The 17,434-nt window shown below is 56.5% G+C and overlaps 1 protein-coding gene across 6 annotated transcripts in view, besides 1 other annotated feature; it reads left to right on the top strand.

The window, feature by feature from the left end:
* The window catches only part of GRM4 (glutamate metabotropic receptor 4), a 136,980-nt gene that overhangs the window by 44,245 nt on the left and 75,301 nt on the right, over positions 1-17,434 (top strand). Inside the window, exons 1-2 of one of the 6 annotated variants that reach the window (NM_001256813.3) lie at positions 5,411-5,453; positions 7,528-7,797. The exons of 4 other annotated variants lie outside the window; for them this stretch is intronic. In NM_001256813.3, coding sequence (NP_001243742.1) covers positions 7,678-7,797 — 120 coding nt within the window. In that variant the 5' untranslated portion in view covers positions 5,411-5,453; positions 7,528-7,677. Of the gene's footprint in view, positions 1-614; positions 719-5,410; positions 5,454-7,527; positions 7,798-17,434 lie in introns of those variants that run through there. One more of the 6 variants, NM_001256812.2, reaches the window with a different exon arrangement.
* Positions 4,365-4,865: an enhancer, noted in NCBI's record as "H3K4me1 hESC enhancer chr6:34074290-34074790 (GRCh37/hg19 assembly coordinates)". NCBI's record gives its function as "activates a minimal SCP1, AML or CMV promoter by ChIP-STARR-seq in naive H9 embryonic stem cells {active_cell/tissue: H9 hESC(naive)}" and the evidence as "EXISTENCE:reporter gene assay evidence [ECO:0000049][PMID:30033119]".

The raw sequence follows: 17,434 nt of genomic DNA, 5'->3' as shown, positions 1-17,434 counted from the left end.
GTACTTACCACCAAGAGGCCTGTGAGTGTGAGTCCAGGAAAGTATGTGTGGGACTCAAGGAGTGGCTCCTCATATGTGTGTGGGCACACCTGTGTGAGCTGCTGCTCTTGAATGTGTGTGGGGTGGGGGTGTCTAGGGATGCTCAGTGCACCCATGTGCCTGAAGTGTTCTTGCCTGTCTGACAGCATGCCTCCACCAGCTCCTGGAAGGGTTGGATCCTGGCGTGTGTGTGTGTGTGTGTGTGTGTGTGTGTGTGTGTGTGTATGTGGCCTGTGTGTGTCTCCTCCTCCCTGGCCCCTGCTGCTGTCAGCTGATATCCAAATGCATGAGACGGATTGTCTGGAGCTGCCCCCAAGCCTTGGCAGCCTGAGGGTGCCCATGGGGAGCCCTGTCTCCGCTTGGCTCCTTGCAGTCTGTGGGGCACAGCGTTCCCCTGGAGAGAGGCTGTTCCTTGTGGGCTCTTACTGTCCATACTCCCAGCCTGCCCTGGGGGGAACTTCCTGCTATCTCCTCACCTCCAGGCCTGAGCTGGAGGAAGGCTGGGCAGAGGAGAGCTGCCAGGCAAGACAGATGGCCTGCAGCCTGGGCCAGGGAGGGGCACCACTTTGATCTCTGATGCCCTGGGGACTCACGGGCTGCAGGTGCTACCAGCCCAGCACCCCGGCACAGCGGGGAGGCTGAGGCAGACACACGCTCCTGGAGAGACATGTCATGTAAGGTGGGGATGAGAAGGGGTATGGTAAGGGGGTAGGGAGCAGGGCTGCTGTGGCTGAGATATTCAGCAACAACCTCTCTGAGAAGATGACATTCAATCAGAGATGTGGATGGTGTGAAGGAGGATATTCTGCGGAAAAGCCCAGTTGGCAGAGGGCACTGCACATGCAAAGGCTGTGAGGCTGGCCATGCTTAGGGTGCTCGGTGGAGGCCAGTGTGGCCAGGTCGGGTGGGGGAGGGGGGCTGGTAAGTGCAGAGGTAAGTGAGGCAGGGGAGCTGACACAGGGCCACGGCTTTCCTTCAACGTGGGGAGGGCTTGGGACACCATGTGGGGTTTTTTTTTTTTTTTTTTTTGGTGGGTGTTGTTTTTGAGACAGGGTCTTGCTCTTTCACCCAGGCTATAGTGCAGTAGCGCAACCATGGCTCACTGCAGCCTCGACCTCCCGGGCTCAAGCGATCCTCGTACCTCAGCTTCCCGAGTAGCTGGAACTATAGTTGTGCACCGCCATGCCTGGCTAATTTTAAATTTTTTGTAGAGACAGTCTTGCTGTATTGCCCAGGCTGGTCTTGAACTCCTGGGCTCAAGGAATCTGCCCGCTTCAGCCTCCCAAGGGACACCATGGTTTAAGTGGCGGTTGTGCCTGAACATGTGACCTGTGTCCCCCGTGTGTCTGTGTGCACATGTGTGGACCTAGACCACCAAGGGAAGGGCAGCAGGCTGCTGGGGGGTGGTGTACATGGAGCAGAGAGTCAAAGAGCCTTGGAGGTCCTTCCAGCTGAGGGCACAGTCAGAGTCTCCATGGCTCCAGAGAACTTGGAACCACATGACAGTGACAGGGAGGCAGATTTCAGCTCAGTATCCTGAAAGCCTGGCAGCCGCAGGTGCTGGAATTGACTACCGTGTGAAGTGGTGAGCTGCCTGTTGCAGGAGGCAGGCAAGCAGAAGCCAGAGGCCACAGTCAGGGACACCGTAGAGGGTAATCCTGCCCTCCACAGCTAAGAGTCTATGGTTAAAGGCCTCCTTCCAGGTGACATGGGTGGGTTTGAACAGAAATCGGCTTTTGAGACTGGGCAGCAGGCATTGTGGAGGCCTTGGAGGACTGGGCAGGGCTTTGGGCCTCCCTTTGAATGTACTCTGCAGATGCCCATTGTCTGCTGGTGCCCGGGAGGCCTGGCCGTGCCTGCTGACTGGGGTGGGTGGCCCCTCTGCAGGCTCTGCTCCAGAGGCAGCCCCTGCAGGGACCCACTGAGGCCTGGGTTGGTGGTGGCAGAGCTTTGTCAACCTTCCACCTTTTATGAAGATTCTGGGGCAGGGGCCTGGGTGGGTGGGACAGGGTGGGAGGGGCTAAGATCAACGAGGGGCTTCCCTCTCAGAGTGGGTCAGCTCAGATCACCAGTTGCTGGCAATTGGACACATCGAACCTGGACAGGGGGAGCCAGCGGGCATCTCCTGCCTGTCCCCTCATTGTCTGGACAGGACCCAGATGTGCTGGTGGCTCTTGCTGGCAGGGGAGGAGGGAGGCCAGGCAGCAGCAAGGAAGGGTTTCGATCTTTGGCATTGATGGGCCTAGGCTTCAGTCAGCTGCTGGCAGCTGAGGATGGCAACTTCTCTCTAGTCCCCAGGTCCTCACCCCGAGTGGCGGGTGATAATTCCTACTGGGAAGGGCTGCTATAGGGGTGGCATGAAGGGAGATGACGGTGGAAAGCACTATCACAGGTGGGTCCCCTGGAATAGACCTGAGTGAGGGTTGCAGGCACTCTACCTGGGAGGGGACCTCGAGGTGCACCGGTACAGGACGGGAGGTGAGAGGCAGGGATGGGGGGCTGGTGCCAGTGCCTTCGTGAGCAGGGGACCTCGGTGGGCAGCCAGGAGATGGCGGAAGCAGATCCTCAATACAGGGCGGGGGCTGCCCTGTTCTCTGCCACCTCCCAGCACCTGGCACACTGTGGGCACTGAACTGGACATTGGGAGGTCTCTGCAGGCGTGGAGGGAAGTAGAAGGGCTGTGGGAGAGGCCCACCCCAAATCAGGTCTGCCATCCTTTCGGAGAAACTGGGAGGCTGGATTTCTGGGCTGAGGATCATAGGAGGCAGCCACGACAGAGCCAGAGAGTCTTAGGTGATTCCGTCCAATCCTTATTTCTCTGTGGAGGCAGCATAGTGTGATGGCAGGCAGGGCCCGGCTGTGAGGGTTCAAGCCCTGGCTCAGCCACTTACCAGCTGAGTATCTCTGGGCAAGTCCCCTCAGCAGTGCACTGGGCTAGGCGCTAGCAGCTCTGTCTGCAACAGGTTTCTGGTGAGGCCTAAATAAATCAATGCGTAAGCAGTGCTGAGAGCAGAGGCTGGCACATCATAAGTGCTTGAGAGCTGTTAACTCTTATTATAGCGGCTGTTAGGATTATTAGATGAGAAACCTGGGGCACAGGAAGGAGGACTGTCTGGTTTGAGGTCATGCGGTGAGTTAGAATTCAGATCTTCCCGTCGTGGCAAGCTCACGGAGCTGCGGAGTGTGGCAGTGGTGGAGGTGGGGCAGGGTGGCCTTCTCCTCATGCTCTGGGCTGGGTCCCTGCCCCTCCTCACCCAGCCTGTGCTGCAGAGGTAGCTAGAGAACCTGCAGCAGCCCTGTTTTCTTGAAGGAATGGGCTTGGCCCAGAGGGGAACCACTCAGCTGTCCTTGGAGAACTTGTTAGCCTTGTCTCCTGGCTCCAGGCCCTTGTGTTTTTGGTGGGCTCAGTGTCTAGGCAAGGGCTTGTCAACTGTTTGTCACAAGGAGGAGACACCTGGGAGCCAGAGGGTTTGAGGGAGGGTTGTATTTCTCTCCATCTCCATAGACACCCCGGTCCAGGCTGCTGTCTTCTCTCACCTGGACCATTGCAGTGGCCTCCCGTGGGTATCCAGGGCTCATCCTGCCCGTCAAGCTGTGTCTCCCATCCTCTGTTTTGGCCTTTTAGTTTCTTGGACCTGCCATGGGCCCTTGGCCACAGGGCCTTTGTACCTGCTGCCTCTTCTGTCTGGGATGTGCTTCCCTCCCCTCTTCACCTGGGTTTTGCCTACCTCTCTTCCAGGTGTCAGCGTAATGCTGCCTTCTAAGGGGAGTGCTCCATTGCTACCCTGGCTAGATCCAGGACCTTGTTCCGGGCTCTCATCCCCATCGCCTCTCGGTCATCACGATTTTGTGTGTATTCGTGTGTGGGTCCGGTGAGAGGCCAGCTCTCCTTCTGGACTCAGCAATACGAGCATACGGCTTTGTCTGCTTTTGCTCACTGTGGCCTCCTGGTGCTTGCCATGGCGCCAGGCACATAGAGGGTGCTCAGGAGGTATATTCTGAATGTGTCCATCATGGGGTGGAGCCATATCGCCTCTCCCCCCTTGCCAGGGGCTAGAGGGAGTGGAAGCTTACCATGAGTACCTGTATGTGGGCCCCTTCCTGCAGACACCACCAGAGATCAGGTCAGAGCAAGGGGCCGCCAGTGTCCAAGGACAGCCGTGGGAGGCAGCCAGGAATCAGGCAAAGATCCCCTGGGGTCCTTCTCACCCCTGGCTTCGGAGATACCCCCTGCAGCCTGAGTGCTCAGCAGCCAGCTCTACCCTAGGGCCATGGAGGCCGTGCTGGGCAGAGGGAGGGGCCAGCCTCCAGCCACCTGTGGTCTTGGCTGAATTGCTGCCACTTGGCCCGTCCATTCCTCAGCTGCCTCATCCACACCAGGCCAGGAGTTTCCAGATTCTCTTTGGAAGGAGAAAGTTTCCCCCAACAGAATCTTGAAGAAACCTGATAATGAGAAGCAGGTGAAAGCCAACTGCCGCTCAGGCTCGCCTGTTTGTAGTTGTCATTAATATTTATTTGCAGAACCTGCAAGATGACAGTGTGGGTGCCAGGCATTGTCCTAAGTCCTGGGGCTCTAGCAGTGAGCAAGGCCGACAAATCCCCTGCCCTCATGGGACTGACGTGCCAGCGGGAGGCAAACAGTCCTCACTAGATGCGTGAATGAAAGGTGTGGTGTTGCAGGGAGTGGTGTGTGGAAACAGCCAGTGCAAAGGCCCTGAGGTGGGCTCCTGCCTGCTCTGTTGGGAGGAACAACATGGACGTTGGAGTGGCTGGACAGGGTGAGTGAGGGGGAGGGTGGTAGGAAGGGAGGCCAGGGGGCTAATGGTGCAGGTCGTGTAGAGGCCTTGGGAGCCATTGAAAGCTGTGGTTTTCACTCTATGAGAAGGGAGCCTCTGTTTTTTCTTTCTTTCTTTTTTTTTTTTTTGAGACTGAGCCTTGCTCTGTCTCCCAGGTTGGAGTGCAGTGGTGCGATCTCAGCTCACTGCAATCTCCGCCTCCTGGGTTCAAGTGATTCTCCTGCCCCAGCCTCCTGAGTAGCTGGGATTACAGGCGCCGGCCACCACCCCTGGCTAATTTTTGTATTTTTGGTAGAGATGGGGTTTCACCATGTTGGCAAGGTTAGTCTCAAACTCCTAACCTCAGGTGATCCACCTGCCTCGGCCTCCCAAAGTGCTGGGATTACAGGCATGAGCCACCATGCCTGGCCATGATGGGATCCTCTTAAAGAGAGGACCCCTGTGGTGTCACTCAGGTTTTAATCGGGTTCCTCTAGCTGCCAGGTGGGAGTGCACTGTGCATGTGTGTGGGAGTGGCAAGTGTGGGAGGCCGGAGCCCAATAGGAGGCTAAGGGCCCTGTTGTGATAGCCCAGACAGAGATGCTGGAGCTGTGGACCTGGGCGGTCCTGGTGGAGGAGGTGAGTCGTGGTTGGATTTTGGATCCTTTTCAAGTAGAGCCAACAATATTTGCTGATAAATCAGGTTTGGGATGTGTGAGAAAAGGACTCAAGGATTTGCCCAACACTCTGGCCTGCATAACTGGAAGGCAGAGTAGCAGTTACCTGGCGGGGACGGACTTTGAACCTGCTGAATTTGCGACACCCATTGGATAGCCCAGGGGAGCAGCAGCTGGATGGGAGCCTGGAGTTCAGGGGTGCATGCTGTGTCTCCTCGCCTGCCATGGTGAGATCTGGTGAACCCCTGAGAAGGCAGTCCCAGGCCCCAGGGAGTGAGTGGAGAGGCAGACAGAGGGAAGGGAGCGCTGAGCCCTGGGGACCACCAGGGTCGGATCAGGGAGAGGAGGCAGGACAGCAAAGGAAGCTGAGAGGAAGGAGGGGACAAGGAGCGCCAGGAGCGGGACCACCAAGCGAGGAAGGGACTACCGGGTCAAATACTGCAGTGGGGCCAAGTGCAATGAGGACTGGCATCGGGGAGAGGGGACTGAGCATCCCCAGCCACAGCTCAGCACCCCCAGCCCGGCCGGTCACCTAGCCTTGCCTCCATCTTCCTTCCAAGCTGGTTTTTGACTCCCCTCCCAGGGGTCAGGACCCTTTTCCCCAGTGGAAGCCCCCAGAGCCCCAGGGGGGCCTCCTCTCTGCCAGCTTGGGGCTGCCAGCCTGGCCCTGGCCTGGCTGTGATATAAATTATGTGGAAAGATGGTGATGTGACTTTTATCGGCTCATGTGTTCAATAATGGTAATATATCCCATTATATCATATTATATTAATATAGTGCAATATATTACATACAGCACTGCACATTAACTTGACTCGAGAACGCACTGGGCAGACACCATGGTTAATTTTCTCGGCCTGGCCACGCCCCACTGCTGGCACTCAGTGCTCCTGGTGATGTGGTCATCAGGACATGGGGTGCAGTTACCGACACCCCAGACGCTACACTGAGGTTTTCCCAGCCCCGCCCCTGCCTCCCACGGCCTGTGTGAGGATTGTCGGCTTTTGCAGAACGGGCTTTTGGATGTTACTCCCACCTTGTGGAGGCCTCCCTGTCCTTACCCGTCAGTGCAGCAGGGGTCATGTAATTAAGCCCCCATTGAACAGATGCAGAAACTGAGGCTCAGAGATGTGAAGTGGCACCCAAGGGATGTGGTGGGGAAACACCTGGAACAGGGACTCTCAGCTCCCCATCCTGGCTGCTTCCTGGGTGCGGGGATGGTGTAGGCAAAGGGCAGGAGGCTGGGAATGGACACGCAGTGTGTGCCAGGTGGGGAGCAGGGGGTGAGAGTGCTTAGGGGCTGGGGCCAGACAGACCTGGGTTCAAATCTCACTTTGCCACTTGCTGTGTCATCCTGTTTCCATGTATTCTTGGGCCTCCATTTCCTCATCTGAAAAATGAAGGTAATAAGTAGTGTTCACTTCATGGGATTATTGTGTGAGGGAGAAGTGAATAATCCACACGAAGTGCTTGGCACAGAGTAGGTGCTCGTTAGCCAACAGCCACCAGTCCTGTTATGATGACACGAACACTCCAGTAGCCTCGTGCTGCTGCCGCCTCCTGCCCACTGGCAAGGATGCCTGGCCCTGGCCCAGCCTGCTCCATGTCCCCAGCCCCGGGGAAGCCCACCCTGCTCCACCCTCAGCCTCGCCCCTTTGGGTCCCGCAGCCTCCCTGGGCTGCCCCCAGCTCTCTCTGCCCCTTGGACATTTGGGTGTGACCTAAGGTCATCATTGCCTGTGTCCTGGCCCACAGACAGCACTGTGGCACAGAGGAAGCCTGGCTTGCCATTGGGTGGGCCTGGGTGTGAACCCAGGCATGTTCCTCAGCTTCGGAGGGGCAGCTTCTCTTCTGAGGATCGGGCTCTGGCTTCCTACCTCGGGGCCGTGGTGAGGGTTACCAAGGGAGGCTGTGCATGAGCCCCTGTCGCACCTCCTGTGTGTGAGAGAGGTGCATGGCTGGCTCTGAACATCTGGGCCAATTCCTCCCCTCTCCCCAGGCTTCTGTAACACTCATTCTCCCTCGGGACCCTCGCAGTGCCTGACACATCCCAGTCTTTCACCGTGGTGCCTGTGGACAGATGAGGAGACTGAGGCTCACAAAGGAGGTGACTTGCCCAAGGTCACACAGCGAGGCAGCTTCTCACCTATGGGAGTTGGACTTTGAGCCCTCCTTGGAAAAGGGGGCATGGCTGTGCCCCTTGGGGCTCCTTGCTGGGCCTCTGCCCTGCCTGCCTGGGCTCCTCCCGGCCTCCCCCACAGATCACTGTTGACAAGGTTACTGAGTCAGCATGTAAAACCTGCAAAAGTGAGTATAATTTATTGATCTACATTTCGCCTATGAAATAGGACAAGTGCTGATTTGAGGATCGCGTTTGCTCTCCCTCGCCCGCCGCCCCCGCCTGCTCTCTCGGGCGCTCTTATCTGCGGCCCTGCCTCTGAGCCTGCATCGAGCCGCCTCCTTTGTCAGCCCTGCCGAGGCTCTCCCCTCCGTACCCACTATTCTTCTCCAGCTTCTGGGCCTTATCGGGCCCCTCTTTTTTCCTGGGTGCCTAAGAAAACATATAATGTTTAAAAGGGTGAGACAAGGGACTGAATAAAGAGCTTTCTGGGGAAATATTTGTCCAAAGGCCTGTTGCCTGCGTCTGTCTGGTTCTCTCCTGGAAAACGTAATTCAGAATGGGCCTGGAAATTAATCCAAGTGTCCGCTTGTTTTCCTGATAAGAGGCTGGGCAGGACCCGGGGATGGGGAGACAGAGGTGGCATGGGGCAGCTTCCCAGCGTTTGCTTCCTGGGGTGTCAGTGGGGGACAGGGTGTGACAGGCCCCAGGAGGTGAGGGATGCCAGAGGGAGGGTCCTGCCTGAACCCAGGAGGGAGGAAGGAGACCTCAGAGCACCTTCTATGTGCTGGGCACTGCCGTGGGTGGCCCACTTACTGCAGAGTGACGCCACTGGCTTGCCCAGGCGCAGCGTCAGACCATGTGAGAATTGGAGCTGCTGACCAGCTCTGCGACCTTGGCAAGGCCCTGAGGCTTTGGGCTTCAGCTTCCTCACTGGCTGAAGGTGCTTCAGCACTGTGGTGCTTGTCTCATGGGCGGGCTGTGCAGAAGGAATGAGGTGTCCCCTTTGTTCAATGAATGCCTGTCCTGTGGCAGGTGTCTGAAGACACAGTGGGGGAATAACATGAAGCCCCAGGCTGATGTTTTAGAGGGAGATGGATACTAAATGAAATAAGTAAGGAAATGTAGTGTGTTAGTAGGTGATCATTGTGCAGAAAATCAAAGCAGAGGAGGTGAAGGTGGAGTTCAGGGGAGGGAGGTGGGATTGGTCAGGGAAGGCCTGCCTGAGAAGGAGACATTTGAGCAAAGTCTTGAAGTGAGGGATGAGAGGGAGCGAGCCACATGCATATCTGGGGGAAGAGCATTCAGGCAGCAGAACAGCCAGTGCAAAGGCCCTGAGGCGGAGTGTGCCTGGAGAGTTCGAGGCACAGTAAGGAGGCTGGCGTGACTGGAGCCGAGTCAGTGAGGCCAAGCTGGGAGTGGCTGGAGATGAGATCAGAGGTGTTGAGCATGAAAATGCTTTGTTAAAATGCCAAGTGTAATTCTGACAGACTGCTCTGAGCTGAGCTGTAAAGGGCATTTTATTAGCACTTGGCAGGGGCTCCCAAAGGAAGGCTGGTGTGTGAATTTTGCAGGAAGTGGGGAGACCTATTATTGCTCCTGTCCCCTGCACACCTTAAATGCCCCAGTCCTTCCGGCTGGCTGCAAGATGGTGCAAACTCTTCCCAAGCTATTTCCCCATGATGGCGCCAAGAGAAAAAAGAGGACCCTTAGGACTTCAGGGCCATGCTTTGGGGGTGGAGGACAGGTAAGGATCCTGGTGAGAGGCCCTGACCTGGCCACTAGGGCACAGGTGGCAGTGGAGGTCCACACGTCCTGGCCATACCCCTGGCCTCCGGGAGAGAAGCCAGGGGCCACGAGATCACTCTCTGGCAGCCTCGTGTGGGGTTGGTGATCCTAATTAAAAGTTCAGATGCAAAAGGCTTGATGATGGAATTTCTAATTAAATCAATTTCATCTCGTCTGGGAGACAGGTTTGCCTATAATAAGCATGAAATTAATAATTATGTATAGAAACTAGCTATTGCTCAAAGCAGAGCCGTTTTACACAACCTTCCAGGGCTCCTGCCCGATCTTTTGTGTTGGAGACGAGTGGGCCACTTCAGCCCTTAGTTTGACAGCCAGGAGTGGAGGCGGGGGCTCAGCAAGGAGAGGAAGCAGGGCTGGTCTCCCAGCTGCTGCCCTGAGGATCCTGCCCCACAGGATGGGGGCGGCCTTCTCACTAGAGGCTGCAGTGTCACCCTCAGATTCTCAGTGTGTGTGTGTAGATGTTGCATGTGTGTGTGTAAATGCATATGCATGTGTAGGCCCACCGTGTACGCAGGAGACAGGTTTTACCTGACAGCAGCATGGGCTCTGCAGCTAGTTCGAGTTCAAATCCTGGCTCAGCCACTCACTAGCTGTGTGAGCTTGGGCAAGTGACTTAACATCTCTGTACCTCAGTTTCAGAAAAATGGGGAGAATAAGAGGGCCCACCTCATAGGACTATGGTAAGATTGAAGGTGTTAAGGTGCATGAAGCTACTTAGGACAGTTCTTGGCACATAGTAAGCACCCAGTAAGTGTTAGGTCTCATGATGATGAGGATTGCATGTGTGTGTGTGAATCTAATTCAATACAATTCCGCCCAAACCAGCCTGTGATGAGTGTGAACTTGACACATCCATGCCCTTGAGGTGGAAATAAATAAGAGTCATTCCTGGCTCTCCCAGAGGTGGAGCCTAATGTTTACCGCTCCCTGTGTCTGTCAGCATAGGTGAGGTGATGCTGCCATAACAAAAAACCCTCAAAGCTCCGTGGCTTAAAATAGCGTCAGCTTAACTCTTGCAGTGTGACATGTCTATGGAGGTTGGCTAGGCACTCTACTCAGGGACCCGGGCTGGGCTGGAACAGTGCTCAGGGACCCATTGCTTACAGTAGCAGAGGAAATGTGTACCCTGTAGGTCTCACGACTGCAATTCAGTGCTGTGGGACAGAAGCGATAGACATGTTCTGCTTTCAGCTCATTGTCCAGAACTTTTCAAGTGGTCCCAAGAAGGCAGAGATCTTGAAATGTTTGGCTGATGGCCCTTGCCCAGCACCCAGCATTAGCTCTGTGTGTATTCATTCACTATTGATTGTCTCTCCCACTCGGATGTCCGCTCCATGAAGGCAGGGATCATGCAGAGCACTCAGTGGGTGCTCAGTAAACCCTGGTCAAGTGAGTGAATTAATGAATGGCCTGACAGAGCTTTGGAGGAGCATGAGTGGATGCTGGGAGAGTGTATGGGGGGAGGCTGGTGGACACAGGAGCAGCTGAGGCAAAGGGACCCCATGGGCCTCGTGGCCAGTTCGACTGTCTTTGATAGTAGTGCCTGCAGCCTAGGACACTCTGACATGCACTCTCCATCACAGAGGGGAAACTGCAGATCACGGTGTGATAGGAAGGGGGCCATAGGTTATACGGGCAGAGGAGGGCCAGAGAAACCCTGGAACTGGGCAGAGGGGAGGTCCATCTCCAGACCGGGGGGAGGAGCAGAGCAAGGGAGGCCAAGGGCCCTGGGGTGGCAACTGCAGCTTTCTCAGCTGCCAGGAAGAAGGCTGAGTCTGGGCTGGCCCAAGGTGGGCCCTCGCAGGCTGATCAATTGCACTGGAGCACAGGCCGGCCTGCCAGGGCCAGACAGGGGCACATGGTCAGGCCCCAGAGTGACCAGATGCTCAGGGCAGGAGTAGGCAGCTGGTCTAAATCCACAGAGCAGAGGAATAGATCTGATTAATGAGGGAGTCAAGTCCTGAGGTGAGTGCCTAGGCAGGGCTGATTCGAATTCCCGGAGGGTCTGTGGCGAAGGGGTTGGTGCTCCCCAGATGGCTCTGGCGGGTGTTGGGGAAGGCGGTATTGAAGGGGAAGGGCCCCAATGTGTGGCCCTGGAGGAGGCGCTGGGGCAAGGACAGACAGTCTCCCGATCTGGGGCCTATCCTGCTCCTCCCAAAGACCACCCAGTTGTGCCCACACAGTCCCCTGCCCAGGTGCCCCCCGCCATTTCCCCTAGGCCTTGTTCTTTGATCACTGGGGACAGGGCAGCTCCATGGAGGGCGTGGGTGTGTGAGGCCTCCGTGGGGCTGTCCCAAGCTGTCTGGGTCACTCTAACCTTCTGCTCCTGAACCCAGCGGTGCGCATCAGGGATGGGCCTGGTCAGGGCTGAAGGCCGGGGACTGCTGGCATCCTCTCTATGTGCTGGCCCCACCCTGCTCCCTCTGCTGCCTCCCTGCACCCCCCTGCTAGTCCCCACTCTCTCTGTGGCCACATATAATTGATCCCCAATGCCGTGAGTCTCCCGCTAAGTGCCTGCCGCCCACCTCCCCTCCACCCCGAAGCCCCTGTCTTGGTTCAGGCAACATCAGCTACTGTCTGCCGTGCACTCACCACCTTCTCCTGGACTTCTGGGCCTGCATCTCCAGACTCTTCCCCTGCAGGCTGAGGGCAGGCTGAGGGCCATCTGACCACCTGTACCCCTGCTCAGGCTCCCTCCACAGCTCCCCTGGCTCCCAGGAAAGTCCCGCTCTCCTTGGCGGGGCCTGGGAAGCCCCTGTGGCTGGACCTCTGTGCGCAGACAGCCTGGTCCCCAGGCCCTGCCATCGTTTCCCTCACCCTGTGGCTCTTCCCTTGCCCATGGGAGGTTGGGGGAAATCTTTGTTCTCCCAGCCACAAGCCTGACTCCCCAACTAGGCTGGTTATCTGAGTGTTATTTAAATCTGTGTCCTCAGCACCTGGCCAGAGGGGTGCTCAGGTGCTCTGTGAGGGGGAGCCCTGGGGAGGTGCAGGTGAGACCGGCTCCCAGCCCACAGAGGGAGGGAGGGAGGGAAGGGCAGCTGGCAACCCCATCTCTTGCACCTCTGGGCACCCCCTCCCAGCCCCCACCCCCTCTCTGCAGCTAAGGCGCTGTAGGGGAGGCTGCACTGCTCAGGCCCCTGAGGGGTCAGGGTGGGGGATGTTGCAGGCAAGGCCTTTGGAAGCCAGCACTCTCCTCCTCTTTCTCTGAACCACACATTCCTGTCCGCCACAGCTTTCATGTTACCTGAAAGCATCACTGGCTTTTATCTGTGAAGCAAACAGCTGATGCTGAGAGCCGGCAGTGGAGGGCCTGAAGCAGCCAGGATCAGAAGGGCAAGGAGCAGGCAGCCAAGCCTGGGGCTTGTGCTGGCCCCGTGCAGGGTCCCCTGCTCCCTGGGGGATAGGGGCTGCGCCAGGCAGGTGGGGATCTTAAAGTCTGCCTGGGTCCTGGCTGGGCCTAGGCTGGTGGCCAGAGGTGGCTGCAAGATCCCAGCCTCAATCTGTGGTGGCCTGGCCTGGCCCATGGGTGGAACAGAAAGAGCAGAGTCAGCAAGGAGGGTGGGGCAGAGCTGGAGGCCTGGAGGGCATGCCCAGGAGGGTGGGAACATGGGCCGGAGCAGCTCAGTCAGCACCTTGTTTCTGACATCTCCTGGTGAGATACTCAGAGGACACTATCATCTCTCCAAGCCTCAGCTTCCTCATCTACAAAATGGGCACAGTGATCCTAGCCCTGCCTTTCTCTCTAATAAGAATATCTAGCATTTGCCCAGGGCCCCCATGCACCTGGCTTGTTCTAAGCACTTTTTGCATATTTGCTGATGCAGTCCTCTCTGTTGTGATGGTGACGACTTTACGGGGAAGAAACTGAGGCCCAGAGAGTTCACTTGATTGCCTAAGGTTGCACAGTTGGATAGCGAAGCTGGGTCACACAGCCCTGGGCAGGGCGGCTCCGATGGGTGCTGGACACTTACGTGCTGTGCCAAGCATTAGGGCAGAGGAGGAAAGGCAAAGGTGCTTTTAACAGAAAAGGTCACAGGAAGAGGAGTGTGGGCTTTGTCAGGTAGCCCCTGGAGTGTCTGTGGTGATGGCCCTGGATGTCTGGTCACTTGACTTGAGCCCACTTGACTTGTGGGGTTCGTGGTGGGGATTTCAACCCTGACTGAGCTGAACAGTCTTGAACAAAGCTCCAGCCTTCAGAGACCCTGAGGACTGTGCTCCGGGTGGGCACTGAGATGCTGGACACATTCCCTGCCCTCCAGCATCCCCGTTCCACCTTTGGATGGTGTGGGATGTGGACCAGCTGCCCTCAGCGGGTTTTCAGATTCTGCAGTTCTGGGAACCAGTTACCCAGAGCTGGAGCTGTGGGCGTTCTGGGTCACCACCCGTGTGCTAGCCGGTATCAGCATGCCTGGGCTGGTTGTGTGAGGCTGCTGGCTGGGCCTGGGGCAGCCTGAGGGCAGATCCAGGCACTAAGCACACATGTGTGCCTGGATACACACATGCGCGCGCACACACACACACACACACACAGGCATGCACACATGCTCACACAAACACAGGCATGCACCATGCTCACACACACACACAGGCATGCATACATGTTCACACACACACACAGACATGCACACATGGCCTTTGCACTGGCTGCTCCCTGGGCCTGGAACACCTTGGCCTCAAATACCCCTCCCTGCTGGGGTCTTCACACAGACTGTAAAAGAGGTCTCTCTGGCCACTCTGCAACACTCCCCTGTTCCTTTCCTTTCTTTTTCCTCCTGGCTCCTCATCCCCATCTAACAGACTCAGAAGCTTATGATGCACCTCTGCATGACCTGCCTCCATCTAGATTGGAGCCCGCTGACGGCAGTTGTTCATAGTCCATCCCCAGCCCTCAGAACTATGCCTGGAGGCCGTGGGTGTTCCATGCCTCTTTGTAGGAGGAATAAATGAATGAATGTGCGGGGCACCCATGTGCTCAAGGACACACGCTCTAGCCCGTGTGCCCACGTGCATGCACACACTCACACAGACACACACACACACACACTCAGATGTACTTGGAATCCATCTTCATTGTTGCTTAAGTCCGGAAGCAGCTTTTGTCTTTCCCCATGTGGCATGGATCTCCTTGTCACTCTAGAAGCCAGAGACAGAGGGAGAGGGAGAGAGGTTTATTCATGCATCCTTCCACCCCTCAGTCACTCACCCCTTACCTCAGCTGAGGCTCTCCTGGGTGGTGGCTGCAGGCACACTGCGTGTCACTCCAGGGGCCATACAACCTACCCCTCTTCGGGGGGCCCAGACAGTGGAGCACTTTTTGCACAAACACTTTCTGCTGTCTCTGCTGATGTCTCCCAGAACGCAGTGGGTATTGACTAGTGTTTGGGGTGGGATCAGTCTAGTTCAACTCTGCATCTCTCCACGTGGCCTTGCCTGCACAAGGTGGGGTGCTTGGAGGGCCTGTTGAATTGATGAGTAGGCAGAGAATAGTAACACCGGGAGGACGTGCCTGGTGCCCTTGGGGCAGCCGCATTCAGTGCTGTGGGAGGCTAGGCCCCCTCTGGAGGATGAGGGCTCAGGGAGGGCTGCCTGGAGGAGGTGACATTTGAGTTGGGCCTTGATGAGAAGGGGGATTTGGATGTGGGAGATGAGGTCATGGACTCTGGGGACAGAGGAAAATAGACAAAGAGGAAGGAGAAAGGGACAGAGGGACCTAGAGCAGGACGCCTGTGCTTGGTCAGGGGCTGCTGGAATCTGAGTTCTGACTCTTGCCCCATGAGGGTGTGACACAAGGTGCTGTGTCCCCAGCACCTGGAACAGTGTCCAGTGTACAGTAGGTGCTCAATGTGTTGGGTGAGGGAAGCAAAGGAGGCAGAGGGATGGAGCAGCTGGCACCAGGGCGGGCACCATTCCCTCCCTCCCCTCCTGCTGCTGCTGTTGGGAGAGGAGAGGAGCATTCTCCTCAGAGAATGTAAATTGCACGTCCCCCTCCTGCTCGGGCTGGGCTGCGCAGACAGTGGGAGTTGAAGAGACGTCAGAGCCCCACATGGGCCAGGTTGTCACAGTCACCTGCTTAGACGCAGACGTGGCTCCCTGCCCACCTGTGGCGGCCCCTGGCACCTCCTGCCCCCGATCCCTCCACTCCAGGGTGGGGCAAGAGAGCCTTGGAGAGCCCAATAGCATTCCCAGGATGTCCCTGTGACAATGACAATGACAACAACGAGACCATGGAGAGAGTGTGTGATGGGAGGGGGCCGGCAGAGAGGGAGAGTCCTAGGAGGTAAAGTCAGAGAGAGGCAAGAGAAGGCGATTGCTGCCAGAGGAGGTTTAGCGGGAGGAATGGCAGCTCCCCTAAGAGCTGACCCTTAGTGCTTACCGCCTGCCAGGCACTGTTCTGAGTGCTTTGCTTGAATTCCCTCATGTGACCCTCACAGCCTTAGGAGACAGCTATTGTAATTATTCCCATTGTGCAGCTGAAGAAACTGAGGCCGGGGAGGTGAAGTAACTTGCCCAAGTTTTTTTTCAGCTGGTGAGAGGTGGAGCTGGGATTTGAACTTAAGCAGTATAGCTCCCCAAAGTCTGCTTGAAACTGTCTCCCTAGGAAGTGTGGGTGGGGCTGGAGCTGAGGAGGGAGGCTGCGGGGAGAGCAGACAGGAGAGGCTGGCAGGTGGACACATCGCAGGAGGCTGGCTTATCCCCGGGATCCTGTTCAGGAGCCTGTGATTCCCTCACCCGCATCTCAAAGTTGGGTCCTTGTTCTAGTGTCTCAGGAATTATTGGGGGAAGGTCAGGGGCCCCTCCTGCGCTCTTGAAATCAGGGGTCCGGGGCTCTCCTGCAGGCTGACGCGCATATCCTGCAGGAGCACATGCTTGGCCCCCCACCCTCTGGGAGAATGCAGTGTGTGCCGTGGGCCAGGGCCAGTGTGCCAGGGCCTCACTCTGGATTTGGGCCAGGGTCTGAAGGCTTCTAACGAGTCTGGCCCCACAGGGGATGCCCGGACATCCATCCGTCCATCCACTGCTCACCACCTGTGCTGAGCACCACCTGGGCCTGGAAAGGAGCTTGGAAGGAGGAATAGGGATGAGTGAGAAGGAGCCACTTCATCTTGGGGGGGCCTCTGTTTCCATTTGCCGCCGGCTGTGTGGCCCGGGTTGAGCCCTCAACCCCTGCCGGGAATCAAGGACTGGTGGGAGGAAACACCAGAAGTAGGGACAAGCTTCTGATCAGGAGGGGCGTGGAGGCAGGCAGGTGATGATCGCTCCTGGCTAGGGCCCAGCAGAGGCCAGCAAGAGAGGTAAACAAAACACTTGTCTCTCAGGGACCTCCCCCCAGCAAAGAACTAACCTCCCCTGCACAGTGTGAAGAGTGCAAAGGCTGAGAAACTGCTCTAAAACACAAGACTTCCTAAAAACAAACCAGCCATGACTCTAATACCATTTTCAGACCTCAAAAATAACAACCTTAAAGTGAATTAATAAATATCCAATCCGAGCTCACATTTTAGAGGGTGCTGTTTTTATGCCAAGTGTTCTCCAAGGCAGAGAGGACTGGGCTAGTTTTCAGTCACTGCTGACAGAGCAGGTGAGGGGACACATAGATTCCAGTATAGTCGAGTGTGGTTTGCTTTCCAAATGGGTGGAAGACGTGCATGGTTCTACATTGGAAACCTACAAAGGGTAGAAGGTGAAAGGTCCCTGCCATATCCTGTCTCGGCCACTTGCTTTCCTCCCCTGAGGCAATGCACATGTTTTGTTTCAGAGCAGCAAGTATGCACCTCCCCTTTCACACAGTAAACAGCTTCCACCTGCATGTTGCCTCCTTATTGCTGTTGTTTTTACCCCAGAATATCTTGGAGACCCACCCAGAGCAGTGCCTGGAAATCAGCCTCATTCCTTTTCACAGCTGTGTAATATTCCTCATCTGGCTGGAACTTCTTTAAACAATCCCCTCTTGATGGACATGTGGGTCGTTTCCAAACTTTTACTGTTACAAACAGTGCCAGTGGATAATGTAGTACA

The sequence above is a fragment of the Homo sapiens genome, chromosome 6 (assembly GCF_000001405.40).
Source record: "Homo sapiens chromosome 6, GRCh38.p14 Primary Assembly".
NCBI lineage: Eukaryota > Metazoa > Chordata > Mammalia > Primates > Hominidae > Homo > Homo sapiens.
Note: the sequence above shows the minus strand (reverse complement) of the source record. Positions and strands in the feature narration are given on the sequence as shown.